Source organism: Homo sapiens, chromosome 4 (assembly GCF_000001405.40).
Source record: "Homo sapiens chromosome 4, GRCh38.p14 Primary Assembly".
In the NCBI taxonomy this organism is placed as follows: domain Eukaryota; kingdom Metazoa; phylum Chordata; class Mammalia; order Primates; family Hominidae; genus Homo; species Homo sapiens.
The window spans coordinates 54,774,788-54,791,395 of NC_000004.12; the positions used below are offsets into that span (position 1 = coordinate 54,774,788).

The 16,608-nt window shown below is 40.6% G+C and overlaps 1 long non-coding RNA gene across 5 annotated transcripts in view, besides 1 other annotated feature; it reads left to right on the forward strand.

The window, feature by feature from the left end:
• LOC105377657 (uncharacterized) overlaps positions 1–16,608 on the forward strand; it is a 62,560-nt gene that overhangs the window by 18,663 nt on the left and 27,289 nt on the right. For 3 of the 5 annotated variants that reach the window (XR_941056.3, XR_941054.3, XR_941053.3), the window contains exons 2-3: positions 673–901; positions 5,162–5,315. This is a non-coding gene — a long non-coding RNA (uncharacterized LOC105377657). Of the gene's footprint in view, positions 1–672; positions 902–5,161; positions 5,316–16,608 lie in introns of those variants that run through there. The other 2 variants (XR_941055.3, XR_941057.3) reach the window with 2 other exon arrangements.
• Positions 3,246–3,747: an enhancer, noted in NCBI's record as "NANOG hESC enhancer chr4:55644199-55644700 (GRCh37/hg19 assembly coordinates)". NCBI's record gives its function as "activates a minimal SCP1, AML or CMV promoter by ChIP-STARR-seq in naive H9 embryonic stem cells {active_cell/tissue: H9 hESC(naive)}" and the evidence as "EXISTENCE:reporter gene assay evidence [ECO:0000049][PMID:30033119]".

Genomic DNA, 16,608 nt, shown 5'->3' on the forward strand with positions numbered 1-16,608 from the left:
GTTTACCTGTCTGTCTGTTCTACTGCCAAGTACAATGTTAAGCGCAATGAAAGAGCTCCAAGAAAATGTTTTGAATAATAGTAGTGAGAAGGTGAACTTTATAATTCACAGATATGTAAAGACCTAGAGTCCCAAGAGAGCACAGCCTGTTCAGGACCTGCCTTAAGAACAGCATGCCTGAATAATAAGAGGTGGGCCGAGGTGGATGGTGAGATATGGGAAGAATTATACGAGATGATGCTGGTGAGGTAGGAAGGCCTCATAGGCCATGTTACAGTGTGGACTTTACCTCCACAACCGTGGAGAATGATGGAAGACATTCAAGCAGGGTTTGTATGATTAGATTTGTTTCAGAAAGATCACTCTGGGTAAAGTGTGAATGGATTGGGGGTGAAGTGGAGCAGGCACCAGACCAGAAGCGAAAAGTTGCTTAGGAGTCTCTTGAAGTGGCCCAAGCAGGAGATGATGGGGCCTAGGTCAGGGAATGGTCGTGGAGTGAGATTTCACATGGGTGAAGAAGAGAGGGTAAATTCCCCGTGTCTAGCAGATCCTGGGACTTTTATTCAAGCTTGGAAAAATCCTGTCTACCCCTCAATACCAGATAAGAATCCCAAATGGCTGTTGTTTTTGGAATACCACTTATAATGTGAATTACTTTCTCATTTGTTTCAGAGACTAACCTATGAAAAAGCAAGGGCTATGGATCAAGTATTCTTTGAAGTGCCCTGTTCACTTCATGGTTCTGTAGAGAATTAGAAAACTTCCAGGAGTTTCCAAGAATGCTGATATCCAGTTCACCACTTTACCCACTGGTGAGGAGAAGAAAGTCAAAGGAAACCATATGTCTTAGACCTTAGTCTCCACTGGTGACCTCTGTCTACCTTGACCCTTTCTCTATCAGGTGACTTCTCTTTTCTGACCTTTCCCCTAACGTAGTTTTAGATATTATTGCTTTTTCAAATCCAGATCAATAAGAAGGAAGAGAGCTTTCCCCAAAATCCCTGGGAAAAGTTCTAGGCTGCATCAGACACACCCTTCCTTCCAAACAACTACAACAGTTAAGAAAGCGATGTCTACTTGGAGTATAGATGATAGCCAGCCATGTGTGTTAGGTCCCTGCAGAACTTTCCCATATTTTTTCCCTTAAAATAATCCCAAGTCACTAAGATACTCAAAGATATAGGCTCTGTTGATGCACATGACTTTGCATTTCCTTTCTTTTTCTTTGTGCTTTGAGTGAGAAGTCAGTCAGAAAAGAGGACAAAAAACCAGATAGATGGCTGTGTTTATGATGCACAAATACACAACATAAGCATACCAGCTTAGTCAAGGGACCGATGGACCCCTCGGGGGGCGAGCTGGCCCTATTTCACTCCTTGCTGAGCCTCTGAGTGCCCTGGGCTTGAAGCCCAGTTAAACGCCTTGTGAAAATTGCCCACATGCTGTCCAAAGTCTGCTCCTTCTGCAAGTTTAGCCTACTAAACTGGCGGAAACACCCTTAGCTTCAATGGGGCGATACTGAATTTAAAGTTCGAGATTCTACAAGGTTTAACAATTTTTGAAGCATTTTATATATATTAGCATACATCTTCTCCATGTAGATCCTGTAATATAGGTATTGTGAGCCCCATTTAACAGATGAAAAGACTGACACTCAGAGAAGAAGTTGAATATGCATTTCCAAAGGTCACACAGCAATTAGGTGGTTGATAAGGAATCAAACTTAGAGTCACTCAACTTATGAAATAGTTCACTGGCTTCTAATATAGTCAGGCAGTGTATCAGGCACTGGGAATACAATGGTAAATGAAGAGATATGAAATTTTCCCTCATGGATCTTATAGTCCAATTGAAGAGACACTCATTAGACAAAGTACTCAAAACAACAGAAAACTGTAAATATGGATAAGAGCTATGAAGGAAAAACAGGGTGTAATTTAGACGTGGGGTGTGTGTTTGTGAATGTGTGTGTGTATGTGACTGAACACCATTTATAACATTTAAGAGCCAAGAAATAGGAGGAAGGAATATGGGAGAAGAGCAGGAGTATGAAGTTTCAACAGGAGATGATAGTATGTATAAAGGCAAGAAGAACTTGGTGTGTTTGAAGAGCTGGAAAAGGCTGAGTGAGTGTGGCTGGAATAGAGTGGGTTAGGAAGAGCGTGGCATAAGATGAGATCAGATTACTGGTAAGCTAGGCTAAAACATTTAGCCATGGGTTTTATTCCAAGGGGGCAAAATGAGAAGCAAGGAGAACAATTAGGACACTGCAATAACCCAGGAGGAAGATGACAACTTTATGTTTCCAAATTTTGTAATTTTTGGTATGGTATGTGCTATAGTTGTGATCTAGAGAACTGTCTGACAGTTGAGAAAGGTTGTTCTTTGCCATACTTTAAAAATCACCCTTAAGTTTTCTTTACTTACAAGGTGTTGAGAGACAGTAGAGCCCTTGGTACATTCAAGAATTAGCAAAGATTTTAGCCACACGGTTCTAGAATTAAGAAGGCCATCTCTTCATGATCAAACAGGCTGCACAATATGCCACACAAGTGACATTTGAAAAGGAAATTGACCATCGGAACTCTTAATAACTGGTCCTCCCCAATAAGAGATGCTCCACCATTCTTACTAGCGATGTGACAATGGGCATGCTACTTAAACTTTTTTGAACCTAATTGACACCATTTGTGAAAAAAGGATAGAAGTAGTACTTTACTCATAGAATCATACTGAAATGGGATTAGATTTAGAATTGGATTCATGGGAAGATTAAATGAGATAATACACGCAAAGCACTTAACACAATGCCTAACAGGATAAGCATTCTGCTTTCAATAAATAATAGCTGTCATAATTATTAATAATGATACTTTTACAGTATAAATGTAATAAGATTAGATACCAGCATCACTTCTGTGGAATAATTAATTTCTGTCCCTAGGCAAAGTATTGACATATGTAGCTTAATTTATGAAAAATATATATCCTGTGTCTCCAAATTATTTTAAAATGCTTTGAAATGCTTGGATGAAAGAAATTATAAAAACATCACATATATTATTCCAAAGAGAAATTGTATCCTACAGAGCTAGACTTTCCCTAATGACTACAGGCCATCTTAAGAATAGCCTGTTTTATTATCGAACTGAACAGTTGGCAGTATTGGACACAATTACAGATTCTGCTTTAGAAAAACCAACGTTAATTGGATTTCTGAATGCCATTTGAACTACAGAGAGAGAGAATTCTTCTTCTAGCTCCGAAATCCACTTACTTTTAGCAGAGCACACTACATGGAGTTTTAGCTCTCCTAATGGCTTCAGGTAAACCCAGAACTAGAGCATTAGCTTCTCAGTGGAGGAAGGATGTATCAAGTATCGAATGCACAGGGCTGCGATTTATCTCTCTCCAATTCTGCTAAAGCAAATGTCCTTTGAAAAATGCATCTGATGAGAGTGTATTGTAAGGGAGATTCCTGAAGATCATCTCCCTTTCTAAACCTCTTTGATCTGAGATTAATCTGAAGATGGCTCAGAAGATCTGAGAGTTACCTAAACTCCAGCGTGTAGCCTGTGTGCCTCCTTGACCATGTGCCTCAGTTTCCAGAGATTTATATTCACAAACTTACAGATCAGTCAAAAGTAATGAAAAAGGAATTTAGCCTCTAATTTCTATGTCTTAAGAAGAAGTTATGAGGATGTAACTTACCAGCTGGCAACACTTTTCATATGTCCTTTTCTGTCTCCCCAACTCTCCTGGACCCATGTTGCTCCACAGCCCCTGTTTACTAACACCTCCCACTCCCACCACGGAATGCTCCTCCATCTCATTTAGCTTTTTGTCTCTTACCCAGTATTTAGATTAACTTGCCCTTTCTCCCTGCCTTCTTTTCTGTAACCTGAACCTGTGATTTTTCTTTCTTTGCCCATTGTCCAGTTTCCAGTTCTGTGTTATGGATGTCAAGGGGTCTAACTGACAGAGGCTAAGTCTCCATATGGAATAATGTTCATTCTTCTTTTTTTGTTTTTTTGTTTTAGACTGGATCTTGCTCTGTTGCCCAGGCTGGAATGCAGTGATGCAATCATGGCTAACTGCAGCTCAACCTCCTGGATTCAAGCTATCCTCCCACCTCAGCCTCCCAAGTAGCTAGGCCTACAGGCGCATGCCCCATGCCCAGCTAATCTTTTTTTTTTTTTGGATTTTTCGTAAAGACAGGGCTTCACCATGTTGCCCAGGCAGGTCTTGAACTCCTGGACTCAAGTTATCCACTCAACTCAGCCTCCCAAAGTGTTGGGATTATAGGCATGAGCCACTACACCCAGCCAACATGTTTATTCTTAATAAGGGCTTTATATTTGGTTCTGTGAACTGCTCTATACAGTGCTGGATTATAGTGTGCTGTGGGGGTGGGACTTGGATCATCGGGTTCCTCGTTGGTTGTATTCAGTCCCAGTTTGGACACAATCCCCAAGTTCTCCTTGGAAAGAATTGGAGTGGGACAGGGAGGGAGGAGGGGGAGGGAAATGTGAGTGAATCTGGCTGTGTTGATACTGATGCAAGCTTAGAAGTATGAAAAATAGTATCTGCCATCAGCTGAGGTGCAGAGAAAGGAAAAAATGGAGGGAGGAGAGATTGGTAAGGGAGAAAAGGGATGAAGGTAGAGGGCTTCAGTAGGTGGGGCAAGAAGGAGAGCGGGGAAGACATAAGATGCAGAAAGAGGCGAGAGACCTGTCAAAAAGTCAACAATCCAACTCCATTGCTCTGGCAGTAGTCACTTGATTCACAGTCCAGGGAATTGATTACAGGGGCATGAGTGGTATGCCAGGAACCTGTTTCTGGATGGAGATTTGGACTCTGATCAAAAATGTTTCTTGGCTGTGAATAGTTGAACTACCCTGCTAGGAATATGGCCCCAGATAATGAGCAGGTGGGATACACTCCTCTTTTTTCCACATCCATTTTATTATGCTTTAAGCACATGCCATGGCCATGGCCCAGCTTCTGAGAGATCTTAGCCCAGAATATATGCTTCTGTGGTGAGCTAATAGAGATTAAGCTGAGGTTTTCTTAGATGTTGCCTCTCATTCCAAAGTAGGTCAAGATTTCATGATTGCCATCCTTGAATGGACTGTCTGCCTTTTTTTTCTTTTTTTGGAAGGTTGGAAGAAGCCTTGGAGGGCACACAGAAGCACTTCCTCCTTTTACAAACAAGAAAAGGGACAGAGTGACAACTTTAAAAAAATCTACATCTGAAGTTAGTTCTATAGTTTCCTATCTCCAGAAGAGGCAGAAATGAACTCCACCATGCCTAAAGTTTGGTTAGTAGAACACAACTAATGACAAATAACAGAATACAGAGCACCTCATTTTCCATTGTCCTTTTCCATACTCAGAGCAATACTATGACAGTACAAGTGGGGCTGATCTATTTCACAGAAGAAGAAACTGAATTCAGACTGTCTAAAATCCACAGACAAGGCAGAGAGGGACTTCCTGGTTCAGACACACTACTCCAGAGGAAATGCTTGTGCCACTCTAAAAGGCAGCCTCCTCCTTAATTGTGTAAATGGCTTTACTTAGTTCTGATCTCTGTGGTGCTGCTAAAGTTGAACAGGACAAAGTGGAGCCTTGTTGACTCACTGATGCTCAGTTTTAATATTGATAACAGAGGTCTTCACTGTATCCACCATCTGTAGAGCCACTCAAAGTGCAAATTGCACAGTAAAGAGATGGGTTAAGAGGACAAGAGGAATGGTGAGAAAGAAAAAATTAGGCCATCTTTTTTCTTGCCACGGGGTCTTTTGTCCTGTTTCCTTTCATTGCTGTTTCCTCTAGGGTGGACCTTTGGTGGCCACATTAGTGGGAGCATCGAGAGGAAGATGCTGTGGTATGTCAGTACCCACACATCGCCTGGCTGCTGGCTGGTAGCTAGCCACTTAGGACAGGGAAAATCGCTTCCTTCTTCCACTTAAGTGGGACTCCGGACTCCTAGGGATAAGTCTTTAGCACCTACTGTCTGAATGCCTCAGACACTACAAATACCAGGAAATTTCAAGAGGAGTCTGGTCTATATCTCCTTTTTTTTTTTTTTTTTTTTTTTTTTTTTTTTTTTTTTTTGAGACAGAGTCTCTCTCTGTCACCCAGAGTGGAGTGCAGTAGTGCAATCTCAGTCACTGCAACCTCTGCCTCCCGAGTAGCTGGGATTACAGGTACGTGCCACCACGCCCAGCTAATTGTTGTTGTATTTTTAGTAGAGACAGTGTTTCACCACGTTGGCCAGGCTGGTCTCGAACTCCTGGCCTCAAGTGATCTGCCCACCTTGGCCTCCCAAAGTGCTGGGATTACAGGCGTGAGCCACCATGCCCGGCCTGGTCTACATCTCTTCTGATACACATGACAGGATCAAAGCATTGATCATGTGTAAATGGTTCTAGAATCTCTCTTAGCACCACCCTCCACAGAGGATGCTATCTTTGACTGCTCAGTTTCTTCCCTCTGCCATGTTGACCACCTTAGGAGACCAGTGAGAGTCTCTACCTTATCTTGAATCATTCCCAAGCTCCAAGGACTACCCACCTCCACATTTAAATACTTGTTTCCCCTGACTTCCTGATTGGCCTGCTTCTCCCAAACTTTCTACTTTCTCCTCCAAGTTATAATTCTTCTTTTTTTTTTTCTTTTTTAAGTTATTAGGTCACAATTCACTTTTTTTAATGGGCAAGTGTAAATGAGGAAAACTAGTAGATTTTTTTTTTCCATCCACAGCCAAGTACAGCTTCAAGACAGCTCAGTGCTGGTAGTGAAGGAGTGCCTGAGAGAATGGGAATGAACCTCATCCAATAAAACTGGGCTGTTGTTTTTGGATCACATGCTGTGAATTGATTTATTGTTTAAAGTGATGAAAAAGGTGTTCGGAGACTTGGAGGAGAGTTTTGCTCTGCGGTGATGCTCCCGCAGTCAGGAAACAGTCTTCTGAGCCATTCAGAGCTAGGAAATATGGGGTTATTTTGGTAGCTGTCAGCAGGAATTGGCTACAGTCTGTATGTTAAATAAATACAAACTGCCTATTTAATTATTTAACAATGAGAACAAACGTCCCACTGTTGGCAAGAGGAAAACAGTCAACACTCAAACTATGTAGAATCCCATCTCATTCCCATGATGTGATTTGACCCTGTTTGCACCCACAGGCTTGGCTGCAACCCTCCAGGGCATCTTATCACTGTTTTATTGGAGTTGGAACGCGGCTGGAATTGGAGTACAAATTTCCTTCAGCAAGGAAATGCTGGAGAAACAAGAGCAAGTTAACCTCCAAATGGGTTCCAAGGCAACCGCTGTGTTGAAATTTCACTTGGGTTCCCCTGGCTCTTTTTTACCTGCCTCTGCCAAATTGTTGATGCCCTCGCCTGTTGGAAATGGATGACTTTGAACAACGAGGGGCAAGGAGCCTCTCTTTTACTTCAGAACTACTACAGCAAGAATTCAAACTCTTTGTTTTTGAGAAAATAGCTCCTAATGCTGTGTTGATTTTACCGTGTGCTTCAGAAAAAGACCCTTAAGGCTAATTGATATGAACATATAGAGGCAGTCTGAGCTTACCAGAATTTATATTACCTGATGTGTTAAGAATCAGGAAGCTATTTATGCTAGCCTATAGCAGCAACCCTTTGTATTTAGTGTGTTTGTGTGTACACACATACCTGTGTAAATCAAAATGAAAGCTTGCTTTTGTGATCTAGCACAAGTTTTGCCATATCATATATACATTTTTAACTTTTGGAAGGTAGAAGACAATTGATAGGCATTTAACATGAAGAAAACATGCATTTATAGTCAATATTAATAGAATAGATGGTACTAATCTATAACAGTGAAAAATAAAGAAGGTAGAGGAAGGAGGACAAAGACAGAGAGGAGACAGGGGGGAAAGGAGAAGACAGAAAAAAGAAAACCTCAAAACAAGGACTGCTCTGAGAGCCACAACTGAGTTTTATGCTTCTTGCTGTCATCTTTCTCTAACCTTAAAGGGCAGAAAGCAATTGGGAGAACTAACCTGCACTTAGATTTCAGCTTCCATAGGATGTTACATTCTCAGGGTCTATTAAATCGATTGGACTTTGACCTTAGCTTCCACGAAGTCCTTACCTTTTGATTGGGGCTGAGAGGTCTGATTTAACCTCATGGAATTTGTATTTTTTGGAGGAACTCCTGCCTCGTCCGTACATGGTGAAACCCCCAACAGCAGCATTTTTAATTTCCAGATTCTCAGCAGACACAATGCACAGACTGTAGAAAACACCTGCTCATCCGGACCGCTCAGCTCACAGGCTCCTTCCTCAGGGGAGCATCTGATGCTCCAGGCAAGGCAGACCCTCTTCTTATACTCTTGTGACCTCTTAGACTTTTCTTTTGTAGCACTTACTCCAGACTCTAATCATATTTATGTTGTGATTGTTTATGCAATGGTTTTCTTCCTAACTAGGCTCTGAGTTCCATGAGAGTTGCAATGTCTGCATCCCTTACCCTTGTTGATATACTGCACTGTGCCCGGTACCTAAGTAATTGCTCAATAAATATTTGTTAAATGAATGATTATAATAGTATGCATATATGCATATATAGTATGATAATATATATAAATATGTGTAAAACAGTATATATACACATGCTATATTAATAGCACATCATGTAATATTGTATGTCTACACACACATACATTCAGTATTTACTCAGTTTTTCTGTATAAGTACCGCGCGCTAACCGATTGCGCCACTGGAGCTCTAGTATTTACTCAGTTTTTCTGAGGCTTATTTACTCATTGGTGAAGTGAAAGTGAATGTAAGGCTCTTTGCAAACCCCAAAGTGCTAGACCAGTAGGAAAGATCAGAATAGCCTTTCATATTAAACACTATGAAGCCAGGAGCTGTGGCTCCCAACTGCAATCCCAGCACTTTAGGAGGCTGAAGTGGAAGGATCACTTTAGCCCAAGAGTTTGAGACCAGCCAGGGCAACACAGGGAGATACCATCTCTACAAAAAAAAATTTTTTTAATTAGCCAGGCATGTGGTGCTTGCCTGTGGTCAAGTAGCCTCAGCTACTCTGGAGGCTGACGCATGAGGAACACTTGAGCCCAGGAGGTTGAGGCTGCAGTGAGCTGTGATTGTGCCACTGCACTCCAGTCTGGGTGACACAGTGAGACCTTGTCTTCAACGAACAAACAAACAAGCAAAAAACACTATGGTAGAGACCCCAGTAAATGCCTTCCATGCTTATAAAATACATTTAAGTATCTCTCAATCAAGTTTTCAGTATTCTCAAGTCAGTCTTTCATTCTAAATTTAGAGTCATTTCCAAATATAGTGCATTTCCTGTCCCATTCCTTCCCTGAAAGACAGCCGTGTCCAACTAGAAGTGGGCCTGACGCCTCTTATTAGCCCGGTTGCATTTCTGTCTCGCTCTTGGCTGCAGTGTGTGAGCTGATGGGCCCCACGTGACTGTGTTCACGTCCAAGCTTAGTAGAATGAATTTTTCCAGCATGATTTGCAAGTCACGCTATCACATGCCTCCTGAGTCCAGCTGTGCCGCAGCTGCCGCCTCCCCTGCATCCGCTCATCTTGCACTTGGATCAAAAGCACGAGCACATTTGCCTGAACCGATCTGGTCTCGGCCCAGCTGTTTGTTCCCCATTGTCATCAGGATGTTTACAGACCTGCTGTTCTTGCTGTACTTGTTTCATGATCACACTTGGGTCTGCAGAGCATTTTAACACATGGCTGTGGCCGAAGCTGGCAATTTGACTAGCTTTTCTTGGTCACTGAGACTTCTCTAAGGCATTTCCTTCAAACCTTCCTAACTATGTGTATGCTTGCACATTTCCACAGAGGCAACAAGAAAAGGAACCAGGGCTATAAATCCTGTTAAAGATGGGCCATGAGTGTCCTTCTGGCCTACTAATTTTATCACGATTAGTTTCTAACTGGACAAGAGAGCACTTCCAGTCTGAGACAAAGCCAGATTAAAGGAAGAAATCTATTCTTCTTACTCTAATTTGGTAAGTTGGGAAAATATAGTTTACCTTCTTAGGAAGTTGTCTTGACTGCTCCTAAAGTGTGCTGATACCTGTCACATGACAGCAGGTATTTTCTTGGCAAGAATTGTGCTGGAATAGCAGTTGGCAGTGATTGTGGTGAGGGCGTGGAAAGGTGTCTAGTGGGTCCAAGTGAGGTTCTAGGTCTAGCTGACCCCTAACTATGAGAAGAACATGAGTGAGTCATTCATTCTCTCTGGGATTCAATGTCCTCCCATTAATAACAGGCACCACTTATTATCATATTAAAACCTGTACTTAAAAATCTGTTTTCTAGACTCACCCCAAAGATCCTGATTCAGTAGGCTGAGGAGGTGCCTGAATGTCCCTATATTTTGATGTATCACAGTGCATGGTCAGCAATTCACTGTCTCCCCTGCAACTACAGTGAGCCATCTGACCTAGGATATTTTATACTTTTAATCAAATGCTCTTTCATGATAAATAACATGGCTCTGATTTCCCAATAGCTCAAGCGTTAAGAGAAAGACAGTTCTGCAATGCAAAGCATCCTAGGCTCATCTCTGTGGGCTGAGGCCACAGAGCTGCACTGTCTACTACAGTGGCCATGACCACATGTGGCAACTGAGTACTAGAAATATAGGTGTCTCGAACTGGGATGTGTTGTTAGTATAAAATATGCAACAGTTTCCAAAGGTTTAGTATGAAAAAAGGACTGTGAAAATACTTAATAATTTTTATGTTGATTACATGCTGAAATGATATTTTTAAATATATGACAGGTTAAATAATATATAGTACTGAAGTTAATTTGATTTGTTTTTTAATAGTTTTATTGAGATATAATTGATATATTAAAACTATGTACGTTTAATGCATATAATTTGAAGAGTTTGGACATATGCATACACCTATAAAACTATCACCACAATCAAGGTAATAGACATCTCCATCACCTTTAAAAGTTTCCCTGTGTCCTCCCTCCACTGTTTTTTTCCTTTTTCTTTGTTTTGTGTTGTTTGTTTTTGGCAAGAGTGCTTAACATGAGATCTAACCTCATAACAAATGTTTAAGGGCATAATACAGTACCATTCACTATGGGTGCTATGCTGTACAGCAGATCTCTAGAAGTTATTTCTCCTGCATAACCAAAACTTTATATCAACTGAACAAGTCCCAACCTACTCCCCCCAGCTCAGCTCCTGGTAGTCACTTCTATTTTCTGCTTGTGTGAGTCTGACTATTTTAGGTACCTCATAGAAGTGGAATCATGCAGTATTTGTCTTCTGTGACTGGCTCATTTCACTTAGCATAATGTCCTCCGGGTTCATCCATGTTGTCTCAAGTGACAGGATTTTCTTCTTTTTAAAGGCTGAATAATATTCCATTGTATATATATACCATATTTTTTTATCCATTCATCTGCCAGTGAACATTTTGGTTGCTTCCATGTCTTGGCTATTGCTAATACTGCTGCAATGGACATGGGAGTACAGATATCCCTGCAAGATTCTAATTTCAATTCTTTTGGGATATACCCAGTAGTGGAATTGCTGGAACATATGGTAGTTCTATTTTTTATTTTTTGAGGAAACTTTATACTGTTTTCTATATTGGCTGCACTGTTTTACATTCCCACTAACAGTATATAAAAATTCCAATTTCTCCACAGTCTCACCAACATTTTAATCTTTTTTGTCTGATTTATTTATTTATTTTTGAGACAAGGTCTTGCTCTGTCACCCAGGCTGGTGTGTAGTGGTGTGATCATAGTTCACTGCAGCCTCGAACTCCTGGACTCAAGCGATCCTCCCACCTCAGCCTTCCAAGTAGCTGAGATTTTACGGGCACACCACCATGCCCAGCTAATTTTTTAATTTTTTGAAGAGACGGGGTCTTACTGTTTCGCTCAGGCTGGTCTTGAGCTTCTGGCCTCAAGTGATCCTCCTGCCTTGGCCTCTCACAGTACTGGCATTACACATGTGAGCCACTACTCCCAGCCTTGTTTTGTTTTTGACAATAACCATATCAATGGGTGTGAGGTGATATCTCACTGTGGCTTTGATTCACATTTCCCTGATGATTAGTGATGTTGAGCATCTTTTCATACACCTGTTGGCCATTTGTAAGTCTTCTTTGGAGAAATTTCTATTCAAGTCCTTTGCCTGTTTGCCTGTTTTTAAATCAGATTATTTGGTTTTTTGCTACTAAGTCGTAGGAACTTATTTATTTTGGATGTTAATCCCTTATCAATATATATATAGAAAATACTTTCTCCCTTTCTGTAGGCTGCCTTTTCATTCTGTTAATTGTTTCCTTTGTTGTACAGAAGCTTTTTAGTTTCATGTAGTCACATTGTACAATTTTGCTTTTGTTGTTTGTACTTTGGTATCATATCTAAGAAATTATTAGCAAGCCCAGTGTACTAAAGCTTTTCCTCTCTCTAGGAGTTTTATGGTTTCAGGTCTTACGTTTGAGTCTTTAATCAATTTTGAATTAATTTTTATGCATACAGTAAGATAAAGATTTAATTTCATTATTTTGTATGTGGATATCCTGTTTTCCCAACAACATTTGTTGAAGATACTGTCCATTCCCTCTTATATATTCTTGACACCCTTGTCAAAGCTCAGTTGAATGTATACCTGTGAGTTTATTTCTGAGCTTTCTATTCTGTTCCATTGGTGTGTATGTCTGTCTTTATGCTAGTACCATGTTTTAACAACTGTAGCTTTGTAATATATTTTGAGGTCAGGAGGATCATTTGTTTCTTTTTACTTTTTTTCTTTAGTGTGGCTACTGGAAAACTGAAAACTACGTATATGTGGCTTGCATTATGTTTCTATTGGATAGTGCTGCTATGGAGCACAAGGCAATTTTTTAGAGACAATGACATCCTGAGGATAAACCATACTGTTACCATATCACAGTAGCCTTACAAAGTGACCCACAGTAACCCTGTTGGTCCTGATCAAACCCTAGCTCCCAGTTTCCATTTTGACTGATAAAATTTAGAAGTGGAAGCTTGAAAAGGGATTGGACAGAAAGTGGGAATGTACTGTTTACTAAGTCCGTGAGTGCTGCTCCTTAACTCATATAGCCTGCTTGGTTCCAGTTGTTACTGAAAAGCTTAGAAGCTTTATCCATTCCCATTATAGACCAGACTTCCCCATCCTCCCAGTACACTCTTCTCATTCTCCACTTCACCCCTTGGCAACCAAACATCAGACTATCTTCTTGATGCTTTGAAAACTATTAAATTAGAAAAAAATTCAATAATAGTACCCATTATAGGTAAAGATTTGGGGAAATTGGGACACTTGTATACTATTGGCGGTACCCAAAATTATAACTTCTTTGGAAAGCAATATCACATCATCTTTTAAGACCCATAAAAATATTCTTACACTTTGATTTTGTAAAGGGTAGGAATTTTTCTCAAGGAAACATTCAACAGAAGCAAGATAAATGGATAAGGATATTCAGTGTAGCATTATCTATACTACAAAATTAGAAGCCATTTAAACACCTAGTCATTAAGGAACAGTTAAGAAAATTATACTGCAACAATTCAATACAATTTTATATATTCATTCAAATTTATAATTGTGAAGAATATATAACAACATAGAAAAATGTTTACCAGATAATGTTAGATTTTATAAAGTAGAACACATAAATTGTATGTAGATTATGATTGCACTGTAACAATTATGCATGCATAAGGAAGAGGGCTTAGAATAAATGCACAAAAATGAAACCTCTGTGTTAGGATTATTAAAGAATAAATCAAAGCATTTTAGCTAGGAGACAATGGCCTCTCATGGGACCCAGAGATGGGCCCCCACAGTGTCCATAAAACAAGTGAAAACATACCATATTTTGTGTGGCTGTGCATATGTTTATTTTTTTGAGAAGTACGAGCACAGCTTTCATCAGATTCTCAGAGGAGTTCGATGATCACCTCCCTCCCAAGTTAAGAACCAGTGCTTAATGATGGTGCTATTACATTATTGTTTCAATAATTAAAAGGAAGTGAGTTGTCTCCTCTTTTGGCCTATACTCAAAGGTGAATTCACCAGTGGGCTTGAGGAAGAATGAGAGCCCTTAGGAAAGAATGAGTCTGGCCCTGGTAGCTTGTGGAAGAAACAGTAACCCCTTAGGGGCCCCCACACCTTCCCATTTAAATTTCTGCTCTCATCCTCACTCAGCCCCTTCTGTCTCAAGGCCAAATGCTGGTCAAAATGCTCTCCCTTTTGCCCTCCTCTCTCCTTCCCCTCCTTCTCTATTCCTCTCTAATGTTCCATATCAGACTAACTCTCCCCAACTTCCAGGCCTTTCTAGTCCTCTAATCTGAGACACACATCTATGCTGAAGGACCTGCCAATGCTAATGGATTACCCTACCAGGGACACTTGCCTTTCAACAGGCGTGTTGGGCAAACAATACCTTTACTCCATAGCAGGTTATGTAGATAGGTGTTCAAAAACCAGGATGGGGCCAGAGCCAGAATCTGTGTGGGAGGAACCACTGCGCTGCACCCCTCAGATCATATCAGGGCTGCCCACGTCACTACACATAGACGACCACTGGAAGGATTCTTTGCATTTGAGAAACATCCATTGGTGAGTCCTGGCATTTTTCTCCCCTCAGGGCCAGTTAAAGAAAACTCCAGTCAGGGTTGTTTTAAGGGACCTCCACAGAACAAAAACCTGGTCAAGGACTTTGCTTTCGGGCAAGCTTTAGGTGTTTCTCTCTTATTCATCTACCTTACCAGTGTGTGGATCTGTTCACTCTCCACCCCACCCCTCCTTCCTGAGGCCCCAGCTCGCCCTTGCTGGCTTGGAAATTGATGTTCTCTCTTCATGGGAAGATTTCTTTCTTCTGAGATTCTTTCTTCCAACACCCTATGCAGTCTCCAGGGTTTCCTTGAGCTGCAGGCTCGGCCTCATTCATCGGAGTGAGACTTCTTTAATGTTTTCTATTTAGATCCTTTGCCTGTAAAAGATTAGCTATTCTATAATGGACACCTACAAATGAGCTGAATAAAAAGAGAGAGAAATGAACATTTTTTAAAAAGTAGCCCAGCAGCTTCCCCTCTGAGAATTGCCACCAACTTTATCCCCTGTTCACTTATTAATGCCTCTCTTCCCGCACTTCTTTTTCCCCTGACATTTTGGTGAAAGCTTTTTTTTTTTCTACTCTAGTCTAACATTTATTCCTTCAACTTTTCTGTCAGACTTCTTTTTCCCTGGAAGCCTTTAAAGATATGACGATCATTATTTTTGTTTTTTCATGTAGATAAGCCCCTTTCTTTCTCATCACAAATTCAACAGAGGCCTAACTTTCAGGCGGAACGGCCCTCCAAATACACCCCAGACTGCTGTCTCTTGCTTATCCCTAAGCATCTCCTAGGGATGGCAAGGTGACATTATACTTTACTTCAGGATTCATTTCCATGCATCACTGTGGTGAGACTTAAAACATTCTTCTTCGTATCTGGCTTAAGAAATTGCAACCAAAGTTGATGTCTTTCATCAGATAGCAGTGGACATTTGGGGGAGTTTGTCACCATCACCTTGAGGTTCCTGGACTGTGTAAAGATCAGTCACTCTTACTTGTTAAGTAGAGAGATTTTAGGATCCATGAGAAACTGGGGGTTAGGTCAATCTGAGCTGTATATCCCTTGAAGAAGAAACAAAAGCTCAGTTTCCCCACCAGAAAAACAAACAAACAAAACAGAACACAATAAGGATCCCTGTTTCAATGATCTCTGCACACATATTGCACGTGGTATAGAGACCAATTACTGTTACCAAATGTCTCCTTTGTCTTCTGTGCTCTATAATAGAGTCTTGGATACTTAGCTGCATTCTTATTATCCTGGAATAAAGATTGTTTCCCAGTCTCCCTGGCACCTAAGTGTGACCATGGAGCTAAGTTCTGGTCAAAGAAATGCAAGTGGAATAGGTATATGGAATTTCCTGGAAGTTTCTTTAAAATAAAGGCTTGCACTTCTCTATTCTTTTGTCCTTCATCCTGGATAGAATTGGGACACAATGTTGGGAGCTCCTGCAGCCATTTTGGACAACTGAGGATGAAATCCACAAACGACAATTTAACAAATAGAAAGAGCTCAAGTCCCTAATATCATAGAGTACCATAACTTCCCTAGGTTGCCTCCAGCTGTTGGCTAGAAAGAGAGAAAGACCTTTTATCTTATTTAAGTATTATGTTTATTTCTGTTGCCTGCAGCCAAATATAACCTAAACAGGATCCACACTCAATAAGTACTTAATACATGATAGTTGTCACTTAAGCCATCACCTACAAATTTTGGAGAACCACTTCTCCCACCACGTTTCAACCCTCCCACAATATGGCAGAACTTTCAGATGCATCTTCTATAATTCTAACATATACTGAGTATTAATTATGTCCCAAGCAAAGTAACAAATGCTTTATGTGGAATATCTCATTTAAACTTTACCTCAACTCTATGAGGTAGGTACTATTTTTTAATCCTTAATTTACAGATGAATCTATTAGTTTGTTAG